The sequence below is a fragment of the Homo sapiens genome, chromosome 7, assembly GCF_000001405.40.
Source record: "Homo sapiens chromosome 7, GRCh38.p14 Primary Assembly".
NCBI classification, from domain to species: Eukaryota; Metazoa; Chordata; class Mammalia; order Primates; family Hominidae; genus Homo; species Homo sapiens.
The window spans coordinates 135,642,495-135,654,167 of NC_000007.14; the positions used below are offsets into that span (position 1 = coordinate 135,642,495).

Here is an 11,673-nt window from a genome sequence, read left to right on the forward strand (position 1 = left end):
TTATTGCTTTCTAGTTTTCCCTCTGCAAACAACTTTTATGACATCCCACTGTTCCTTTGCATCTTCATTAGCCAGTAGCCAGGTAAAAGGCAGATCATTTTGTTTTACTACCGTAATGTAGCTGTTGTGGCAAAAGATTTTTTAAAGTTTAAATCCATTTATATTTTTTGAATATTTCAGTTACTATTCTTGTCTCTTTGAAAGAATGACTTTGAGCTGGCAATTTAGTAACCAGAAAGATGCAGACCAGAAATGAATCCATACAACTAGAGCCATCAGGCAAAGCAGGAATTAGTCACTTGGTGTTAAGAAACCCCACAATTGTGTATATTGTTTTTGATGTGGAGGGGTGTGTGTGTGTGTGTGTGTGTGTGTGTGTGTGTGTGTAAGGTTTATACTTTGATAGAGTTCTCAAAGGACTCTTTGCCTAATAAAGGGTAGGCTCTGCCAATGTGCATCAGTCAGATTTCTTTATTCTCGCAGGATTTCCAGCCTTATGTATGTACCTGATTACAGTGGCTCCTAACCATTTGTTCTTTAAATTATAAATGGCATTTAAAAGTAATCTTGGGTTGGTTTTAATGACAGGTTACATGTCCTTAAATTCTGGGGCATCCCTTGTTTTAAAACAGGTCATTTGAAATTCATATGAAATGCTTATAAGTGGAACATTGTTTTATGTCATCACCTCTATTAGATACCCAAGCTCCAGTGGTTCCATACTGGCGCCTGCCTGGTTTAGGCATTATCATCTACCTGCTGAAACAGAGTGCTAATGATTTCTTCAGCTATTATGACAGTCATCGACAGAGTGTCAGCAAGCTACAAAATGTAGAGCAGCTTCCCCCAGATGAGATAAAAGAGGTACGAATCTTATAATGAGCTGGGGGGACTTGAGAAATCATTGCTGTTACTAGGCCAGGGTACTCAGACTGAGTAAAGACAACGTATACAGTATGACTGAAGGAATTGGAATGATTCTTCTGTGTGATTTGAAGAAGACTCCTTCGCCGTAGCACCAGCCTTATAAGCATAGAAACTCTTGACTGAAAAACAGTGAAGTGTAGCACCTGTTCAAGAAAATAGAAAGGCAGCTGGCCTTTGAATGAAGAGTTTTGGGTCATTTATACTCTAAAATCTGTTCTGAGAAAGGCTTCTGTTACAGATTTTTTTTTTAATAGAACTTGGGTAAATGTCTCTGTGCCTTCAGCATCTTCAATATCTGTTTAGCAAATCTTTCAAACAAATGGGATAGCATATGAGACTTGACTGCCTTCCCTCAGTGACCCAGAAGCATTCCCTCTACTTACAGTATTAATAACTAAAGATGCTGCATTACCAGGATTGCTACTAAGTAGCTTGCTGCCTTTTCCATTTGGCACAGCTGAATGTAAGGCATCTCTTGGCCAGTTCCTAAGGCAGTGCTGAAGCTTCCTGGTGTCCTGTCGCAGCCTGAATGTTGAGCCACTTTGTCATTCCTGGTTTGCACCAAGTTTTCTAAAAACTTCCATGTTACTCTTATGAGTAGTCCATGCCTACTCCCTCTTGCCACTTTTCTGGTAAACTCAGGGGACATTTATTGAGTGTCTACAACATGCCAGGCCCTGAACTACATGTTCTACCTAACACCCGGGCAGATATTGTTTCTATTCTCATTTCTCATGTGAGGAAACTGAGGCACAGAAGACTTGCATAACTTACCCAAAGGCATGTAGCTGGCAGGAACAGGGTGAGGCAGGAGTCAATGACTGGGTTTAGGTAACCCCTGAAATTTTGGGTTCATGCCTGGCAGTCCTTCCTCTAATGTGTAGCTAATCAGTGATGTTTGTACTTGTAAGAGGAATTGCATCATCATCATGAAGCGCGTGGCCTTCCATCAGCCTCACTTCAGTACGCCTTCTGTGGAACCCAGCATCAGAACATTAGCTGGAACAACTGTGCTTGTGTGTGTGCCACATTGAGAAGTGGTCATGGGAGCTTTGGTTGATGATCAGATTTTAGTTATGCTCTAGGTGTCTACCTTGTATTTTTTGCAGAAGATACCTGACAACTGTTAGAAATTCTCCATGGGATTGTTATAGCTACTGTTTGAAAAACCTATCATTTTGTCTTGGTTTGTTTTAATGTGACAGGAAATTCAGGGTTTCATCAGCAACCCTGACTGTGTTTCAGGGACAGACTTTTTCAAAAGGCAGCAGATAAATGTTCATTTGTGAATTTGCTTCTTTGGCTGTAATTTTTAAAAATTGCTAGCTTCTTAGATAAAAACTCTTATCTGCAAGGATGTTTAAATTTGAGTGTTTTTCATAGCATTTATCATGGTGACCTGCTGATAGTAGTTTTTCATTAAAAATTTCATTCCAGTTGATGTCATTCTAATACCACATTTGTTTCTTCTAGTTGTGTCAGTCTGTGATGCCTGCTGGTGTTGATAAAATCTCCACTGCTCAGAAATATGTTCTAGCAAGACGGCGCTTGGTGAAGGTGATCAACAATCGAGCTAAACTGCTTTCCCTTTGTTCTTGTATCCTTTATGAAATCATGCACTTGAATGATGACCTTGAAATATAGGAACTGTTCACTTATTCTCATATTATTTGGGCACCAAAACCAGGTGGAAGGAGATAAACTTAATTTTTTCCCAGTAAATGCCTAATGTATTTCCAAATCATAGTTTTTGTTCTTATCTTTTAGAGTAGCTGGTAATACTGATAAAATACATGGGCACTTTCTGTTAGGGAAGAAGGTAGGGACATGAGACTGCTGGCACAGGACCCCAAGGTCCCCACCTCTTTCCTCAGCACACCTTGCTGCTTCCTCTTGAGGAGCCTTCAGTGAGACCCTGTCTGTTAGACTGAGGCTGTGGGTACCTCATTAAGTGAGTGCAGTCTGTCCTTTTTTCTTCTCCTCCGAAACTGGTGTGTAAAACATATTTGATGAGATTATGTTCCTTTAATCTGAGCTCTGGTATAGTTATCATAGAGACCTGCCTATTTATTCTTTGGCGCCATCTGGAGTACTACTTGTTACATTGCATGCCCACGGATTCTCAAGATTCCTTATTTGCCTCGAGAACCTTGTTTAAAAGCAGAAGACTGCAAGGTAAACTTTCTGCTAAAAATTAATGAACCATAAATACCTATTTGTGCCTTGAAAAGCTAGTACCAGTTTTTTTTTATTTTTGTTTCCAGATTACTTAGAGTGAATTGGGTGAATCAAGAGCTGTTTAGTCACTAGACGTAGCTATTTCTTGCATTTTACTTTCTGTTCACGGGACATTGTGCTGAGCATAAGAATATTCTAGAGCCTGCTCATCAGCTGTTCCTTAGCTTCTTGCTGCAGTTAGGGGGCTGATCCAGCTCTAGAAGAATGGAGGAGGTCTGCTATTATGCTGATTCTTATTGCTGGAGTGGGCCTCTGTGACTGATGGCCATATATTGGATCCCTTAGGTGGAAGGAAATAGAGAAAAGCTGAGAACCCTGGTCTGGACCAGTGAAATGCTTTCTAGGGGCTTCCATTTGCTAAAAGTTGAAAATTGAGTTCCCAATCTTGAGCCGTGTTTTTCATGGTGCTATTGTTATTATTCATTGTCATCAGGTTCCTCCACTGTGTGGTAGATAGGTACTTGCACAGCCGGTATGACTCTGTTTTTTTATCTCTAGATTCCTTCGCCTCAGAAACCAATCTAGATTTTAGAAGTGGGCTGGCTATAGTGAGCCAACATGATTTAGACCAGGTAAGGTTCTATTCTCATATTCTTTTATTTTTCTTCATTAAAGTAAAAGGGCTGGGTGTGATGGTACACATCTGTAATCCCAGCATTTTGGGAGGCCGAGACGGGAGGATTGCTTGAGCCCAGGAGTTTGAGAGCAGTCTGGGCAACATAGTGAGACCCCGTCTCTTAAAAAAAAAAATTGGCATACTGTGGTGGCATGCACCTGTAGTCACAGCTACCTGGGAGGCTGAGGTGGGAGAATCACCTGAGCCTGGGAGACTGAGGCTGCAGTGAGCTGTGATTGCACCACTGCACTCCAGCCTGGGCAACAGAGCAAGACCTTGTCTCCAATAAATGAATGAAAGAGTGAAGCAAGACCTTGTCTCCAATAAATAAATAAATAAATGAATGAATGTAAGTAAGTAAGTAAAAAGGAAAGCCTGGTATGTTAATAAGATTATGATTTTCAGGGTTGCTTACAGACACCTGGTTTGAACTCTAGCTTGACCATTTTAACAGCTATATGACTTTGAACAACTTACTTAACTTCCGAGCCTCAATTGCTTCATCTAAGAAATAGGAGGATTCAACCTCAGAGGGTTTTGTCAGAATTAAGTGAGGTTTCATGTATGTGAGGCTGCTAGTGTTGTACCTAGAACATGGTAAGCATTCCGTGATTGGTAGGCATTATGATCTGGAAACTCCTGATGTCTTTTGATTAGCTTTGTAGAACTTTTTAGGTACAAAGTATCACTCAGCACTTATTTTTCAGGAAATAATTTAATGGTGAGATTGAGAGCAGCCAATACAAATCCCGCCGTCATAGACCATAGTACACAACACTGTGCTCTTACTAACCTGTTGATCAGTAGTGTTAGAATGAATGAAGAGTATGCCAAAAACAATTACAATGAAAACCTCATATTAAACTAATAGCAAAGTTATGTTTCTAACAAAGCAGGTATCAGGGTGTGTGATGTTAGGGAAAATGAATTACAGCTAGATCCTCTGCTAGCCATCTGAATGTCCTTAGCCATGATTTGATAAAGCCTCTGCTCCTCCCAAATCCCTCTTTTTGCTATTTTTCTTAAAACAAGGTTGGGAATGAAAGGTGCAGTTACAGCAGCCTCCAAAGCACAGCTTGCTGGATATCATGAATACCACGCTCCCATCCCAATCCAGACTACATTCGCCCCTTAGTGACTTTATAAAAGGAATTCGTTTTGTGGCTAGGCTTGTTTAGGAGAACTAGTGTTAATTGAGGCCATGTGCAAAATTAGCCAAAGAAGATTATTCAGAAGTTTGTTTGTTTGTTTGTTTTGTCTGAGAGACAAGGTCTCACTCCATTACCCAGGCTGGCATGCAGTGGTGTGACCACAGTTCACTGCAGCCTCAACCCCCTGGGCTCAAGTGATTCTCCCGCCTCAGCATCCTGAGTAGCTAGGACAACAAAAATAAATATATTTTGAAGTAATAACTGTTACTATTTCATTTAGACTGCTTTGTGAAAAAGCTAGAAAAAAATGCAGGATTAATAAATAATCTCACACTCTGTGTTGTGATTTTAATGCAAAACTGAAAACAGGTAGATTGATCTAATATTGTACTTAATTTTAGTCTTTTAGTATAACATCAAAAAGATCCATCTGAAACTACATATGCATTCTAGAATATATATGAATTCTAAAGCATATAACAGGTGTATCCCCACATTAATATTTTTTGAAAACAAAAGCATGCAAGTGGGTTTTTAAAAATTGCAAAATGAAGTAAAAAGTAAAAGCTTCTTTCCCACCTACCCTCCTGTCCTCCCTCCCTCCCTTCCTTCCCTGCATTCTCCTTCCCTCCCTCCCCCGCCAGTCTTACTGACTTCTTGTATGGCCCTTCAGGAAATGTTTTTGTGTGTATGTTAGTATATCAGCATCAGCATCAACATTCATTGCTATTTAAAGCAGGTTTTTAAATTTATACAAGAAAAGAAAGCAGGAAAAACATGAGAATTAAACCAAAAAATTCTAAGGTAGAAAATGTGAATGTTTAGTTAATTTAGTAACACATTACAAAAATTCAAAAGTATTTACATTGAAAGAACCACATTACAAAAATTCTAAAGTGTTTTAAATTGGAAGACTTAGAATAAAAGAAATATTTGAGACAACAATTTTAACAAAATGTCTTTTGTGTCACCGCTAGCTTCAGGCTGATGCAATCAACGCTTTTGGAGAATCACTACAAAAGAAACTTCTGGACATTGAAGGATTATATTCAAAAGTTCGATCTCGATATAGTTTCATACAGGCTCTTGTCAGACGTATCCGTGGCCTCTTGAGGATATCAAGGAACTGAGAGCCCGTGCTTATGCTCTTCTATGAGAGAGATGAATTGGGGAGAATTGTCTCCATTTTATAGATTAGTTTCTTTCTAAATTATGACCAAAAATATTTTGCTATTTCTTTCTTTGTATATGGACATCTTTTCTGTAAACTTCTTCCCCTAGTTCCATCCTCACTAGTAAAAAATAAATACTTTTTAAAAAAACAAAACAAATGTATGGTTAATCTTTTGATCTTTTATCTTTTGATCAGCATTATCAGGAATCTAACAAATAAACCTTCAACAGTGGTGATTTTCCCATAGAGATATTATTCTGAATGCCAGATTAAAGGCATAGTCTGAAAATTCTAATTTTTTCACCCTTTGTAGCTACATTACACTATTAACAATATTCAGGGTTACTAAAATATAGCCATGCTCTTATAGAATAGTGTACTCAATACTGTGAAAATGTCTGAAAAAGTCAAGCTTTTTCCTAAAATTATTTAGGTTTTCCTTTTTTTTGTTTTTTTCTTTTCTGCACGTAAGTTGACAATACAATTGTCCCTTGGTATCTGGTGATTACTGGTTCTAGGGCTCCCACGGATACCAAAACCTATGTTTTGGCATGCATGTTCCTTATATAAAATGGCATTGTGTTTGCATATAATATAGATACATCTTCTTGTATACTTTAAATCATTTCTAGATTACTTACAATACCTAATATAATATGAATTCTATATAAATAGTGGTTAATACTACGTTTTTAAATTTGTATTATTTTTTGCTGTTACACTGGTTTTTTCCCCCCCAAATATTTGTGATCTGTGGTTGGTTGAATCTGCAGATTTTGAACGTGGGGATATGGAGAGCTGACTCTACAGTAATTTGTGTTTGTTCCTTAGAAATGATTGTGAAATTTCTCAAATTAATCATCTGCCAATATTTCTCATATAATTAATATGATGGCTATCACTAGGACAAAACATTTACATGATCACCACTCTATTTCTTACCCAGTTGTTTTCATGTTCAAGTAACTACATCATCCGAAACTGCAAATTTCCTTTTCCAGACAGCAATTACTTCAGCCTAATACATAGGAGAGACTGCTGAGAGGAAGTCTTTGCTTTCATTTAGTAACAGAATAAACGCTATAACACTATAGAATAAAATTGATAATTATTCTATAGTGTCATAGTGTTTTTTTGTTTTGTTTTGTTTTTTGTTTTGTTTTTGAGAAAGAGTCTTGCTCTGTCACCAGGCTGGAGTACAGTGGCATGATCTCGATTCAGCACAACCTCTGCCTTCCAGGTTCAAGCGATTCTTCTGCCTCAGCCTCCCGAGTAGCTGGGACTCCAGGTGTGCGCCACCACACCCAGCTAATTTTTGTATTTTTAGTAGACACGGGGTTTCACCATGTTGGCCAGGATGGTCTCAATCTCCTGACCTTGTGATTCGCTCACCTTGGCCTCCCAAAGTGCTGGGATTACAGGCGTGAGTCTCCGCGCCCAGCCTAGTGTTGTTGTTGTTGTTTTTAAATGCTTACAATAAAACTTCTATGGCTTCCAAGCGTTGGTTTTTGGGTTTTGTGGTTTTTTTTTTTTTTTTTTTTTTGGTGATAGGGTCTTACTCTGTCACCCAGGCTGGAGTGCAGTGGCATGATCGTGGCTCACTGCAACCTCCACCTCCCGGACTCAAGTGACTTTCCTGCCTGCGCCTCCCGAGTAGCTAGATTACAGGCGTGTGCTACCATGCCCAGCTAATGTATTTTTAGTAGAGACGGGGTTTCACCATGTTGGCCAGGCTGGTCTCAAACTCCTGGCCTCAAGGGATCTGCCTGCCTCAGCCTCCCAAAGTGCTGGGATTACAGGCATGAGCCACTGCATCTGGCCTTCAAGCATCTTTAAAACATCTTTATCTTAGAGGAAGTTATGCTGTCAGGTTTAAAAAAAGAAAAATATAAAGGCTTTGTCAGTGTTATATTTTGTAATTAATTTACCGCCCACCAGATATAAACATTAGCTGGAAAACATTCTGTTAATAAATAAAAGTCCTGGATGTGAAAGAATAAATAAATGGATCCAAAATGTAGTTACAGTGCATAGTGCTCCACTGGTCAGGCATATGGTTATCTCTGTCATCTGGAGCACAGGTATGAACCTAGAAATGATTAGCAAAGAGCCTAGGCGTGAAATCAAAGCATTTTATAAACTTCTGAAGTATGAAGCCTTCTTAACAGACAAGACATATAGCTAAATTTTGAACTGGGATTTTAGGAGTGAGGAGGTGGTTCTTGCCTGTGTTTTATGTGAGTGAGAGCAAGTGAGTGTGTGTGTGTAGGCAGGGGAACTCTGCTTCTTGTCAGTGACTTCCTCAGATTCCTCTATCCCTCCGCCTCCCCGACTACTGCTGCTGCAGTGGCTGCTCCCTGGGTTGTAGGAAGTGAGTGATAATGATGACGTCGGGGTGGAGAGTGACAAGCAACAACAGAGATTTCAATCTGCGGCTGACGAATGGGCCCATCATAATGCACTGGAATGAAATCGTAGGGACCACATCAAAGGCAGCCTCCAGTTTGTGGGACGCAGTCCCAACACTCCAAGGAGAGAAGGCCATAGAGTATATCCAGCATATGCGAAGGGAAAAACCACACGCCACTGAGATATTGATGACCTCAGCGGCAGAATGCTCTTCTGAAGGAGGAAGTCCGTGCACCGAAGGGGAGGTCAAGTGCCCAGCCACAGGCCAACTATCCCTCCTCAGACAGCATCCTCTACACCAATGCCAAGGGCAGCACCACCTCTGCCTTTGATGGGGGCTCCGACTGCAGCTCAGAGTTGGAGCCTGAAGAGGCCTGAAGTAGGAAGAAACTCCAGATGGAGGCCAGCTGAGTTACTCAGGGCAGGCCAGCAATAAACACTGTCTCCATCATCCTCCTTTCCGTTTCCTCAGAACCATTTGAGAGACTATTTTTCTCTTTCTCCCTTAAAAATTGTTTTTTAAATTTTTATGTAAAAGCTCTTGGGGCCTGGCACAGTGGCTCACGCCTGTAATCCCAGCACTTTGGGAGGCTGAGGCGGGCAGATCAGTTGAAGTCAGGAGTTCGAGACCAGCCTGGCCAACATGGTGAAACCCTGTCTCTACTAAAATTACAAAAATTAGCCTGGCGTGGTGGTGCACGCCTGTAATCCTGGCTACTCCGGAGGCTGAGGCAGGATAATTGCTTGAGCCCAGGATATGGAGGTTGCGGTGAGCCTAGATGGCACCACTGCACTCCAGCCCCCTCCCTACCCCACCCCCCCAAAAAAGCTCTTGTCCTCCTTCCCCATTTCTACTATAACTTAAAAAAAAAAAAAAGTGTTCCCTTCAGGGATTCCCTGTCTCCACCAAGAATTTTTAGACCAAAACACCCTAGCTTGGCAGCTTTTTCTGTGGAGGACAGATGGCCAGCCTGACCTCTGAGCACAGTATCCTGCCCACTCCACCAGCTCCTGCAGCCCTGCCCAGGCACATGCCTGGAGGACACCTGCCCCACCCAGGCTGCCTCCAGGTCCATGCTCACCTCTGTTTAACAGACTTTGAGAATCTGTGAACTGCTCTTAAGAAGATGACTTTAAGAAGATGACTGGGCCGGGCATGGTGGCTCACGCCTGTAATCCCAGCACTTTGGGAGACAGAGGCGGGCGGATCACCTGAGGTCAGGAGTTCAAAACCAGCCTGGCCAACATGGCAAAACCCTGTCTCTACTGAAAAATGCAAAAGTTACCCGGGCGTGGTGGTACGTGCCTGTAGTCCCAACTACTCAGGAGGCTGAGGCAGGGGAATCGCCTGAACCCGGGAGGCGGAGGTTGCAGTGAGTTGAGATTGTGCCACTGCACTCCAGCCGGGGTGACAGAGCGAGACTCTATCTCAAAAAAAAAAAAAAAAAAAAAAAAGATGACTGGTTTGGAGTAATCAGATTTACACTTTCTCCTTTTTAAAGACTTTCTTCTCTTTTTCTAAAAAGCTATTTATCCCTCCAATTGAGTGACCAGATCCTTAAAGAAGTTTGTGGTGTAAAAAAAAGAGGGGTCGTGTTTGCAGCACAGAACCTTTGGCGTGTTTCTCTCCTGCTTCTCAGCCAATTGTTTAAGCCTACGGTGCCAGCCTTAAGGAGGGCTGCATGACACCTGTGGTATGTATTGGAGATGGCAGCAGTGAAGTCGCAGCCACCAGGGAGTGGTCCTTTGGGGTTGGGTAGGGAGGGCAATATTGGGTGATGTAGAGGTTTTGTACTGAGGGCCAATGATGGTGTTTCGATATTTATTTCCTGCTACTGAAATTTGAATCTGAGTGAGTTGTCCCTATTTCTTGATAATACCGGTATTGCAAAGTGACAGATTCATAAAGTAATGATCAAATCTTGCTTTCTGTGTGTATGTCTAAGAAATAGAGCCAACTGATTTTGTATATAAATACCAAGAGTGATTTACCTGGTGCTAAACCGGTATCCCAGTGTGGGCCTTTCCCTGCCCCAGCTACTTCCCTTCCTGCGGCCCTGGTACCTGCCTCCATTGTGTGATCCAGCCCTGGTTCTGGCTGCAGTCAACAGATCCCAGTGAAGGGTTTTGTGTGTTTAGGCCTCATTTGTCTTTTTCCTGCTCCGTTCCTGGCATTTGCTAATTTCTAGTATATATTCTGTAGTCTCTGTCTGGGTTTGATTCCATTCCATAGAAATAAAAAGTATGTTGTACATATCCTTGCAAGTTAAGGCTTCCTCCCTTTACTATCAGACTACAAGACTATAGTCTTAAAAAAATAAAGATTTTGGATTTACTGTGTTTCATATTGTTTTCTTATCATTTTGTCCCAAATTACCACTGACTGTGGATCAGAATCGGGGGCAGTGGAGAAGTGTGTGGGAGGGAGAGGCGGGCAGGCCTGCAGCTGCATCATACTGCTGACCAGAAATGTTTGTGTGACACAGCGGGGAGAGGCTGACATTCAGCCTGACCTCTGCATTCTGTTACCTGGGGCATGGAGAGAGGGCGCCAGGTGCAGCACGCACTCTTCACCGAAGCAAGCAGAGAGGATAAAACCAGTGTTGGATAGTTTGTTTTGAAAAGCTACATTTAAATTTTAAATAAATGCAGGATTTAAATATGGCATTTTTACTGAGTGAATCAGTTTGGTGGGTTAGAAAATCAAAAAGAGGTACATACTCTCTTCCTAGTCATTACTACTGTAGTTTTGGTCAGTTAGTAATATAGAAATTATGTCTGAACTTAATCTGGGCTGTAACAGCTGTTAATATACAACATAATCTTTTCTAAATATTTGTCTAGTGTTTTCTCAACTTTATTTATTTATTTATTTATTTATTTATTTATTTATTTTTTGAGACTAAGTCTTGCTCTGTCGCCCACGCTAGAGTGCAGTGGCACAGTCTGAGATCACTACAACCTCCGCCTCCCGGGTTCAAGTGATTCTCCTACCTCAGCCTTCCAAGTAGCAGAGATTACAGGTGCTCGCCACTATGATCGGCTAGTTTTTGTATTTTTAGTAGAGATGAGGTTTCACCTTCTTTGCCAGGCTGTTCTCCAACTCCTTGACCTCAGGTGATCTGCCTGCCTCCACCTCCTAAACTGCTGGGATCACA

At 41.3% G+C, this 11,673-nt stretch overlaps 1 protein-coding gene and 2 pseudogenes across 2 annotated transcripts in view; all 3 read left to right on the forward strand.

Annotated features, from left to right (window-relative positions):
- Window positions 1–6,259, forward strand: part of NUP205 (nucleoporin 205) — a 90,837-nt gene extending 84,578 nt beyond the window's left edge. For both annotated transcript variants that reach the window (NM_001329434.2, NM_015135.3), the window contains exons 39-43: window positions 698–864; window positions 2,401–2,524; window positions 2,974–3,102; window positions 3,664–3,737; window positions 5,910–6,259. In NM_001329434.2, the coding sequence (NP_001316363.2) occupies window positions 698–864; window positions 2,401–2,524; window positions 2,974–3,102; window positions 3,664–3,737; window positions 5,910–6,062 (647 nt within the window). In that variant the 3' untranslated portion in view covers window positions 6,063–6,259. The remainder of the gene's footprint in view (window positions 1–697; window positions 865–2,400; window positions 2,525–2,973; window positions 3,103–3,663; window positions 3,738–5,909) is intronic.
- Window positions 7,967–9,058, forward strand: LOC124901801 (protein max-like; annotated as a pseudogene).
- On the forward strand, window positions 9,340–10,811 carry LOC101027084 (MAX pseudogene; annotated as a pseudogene).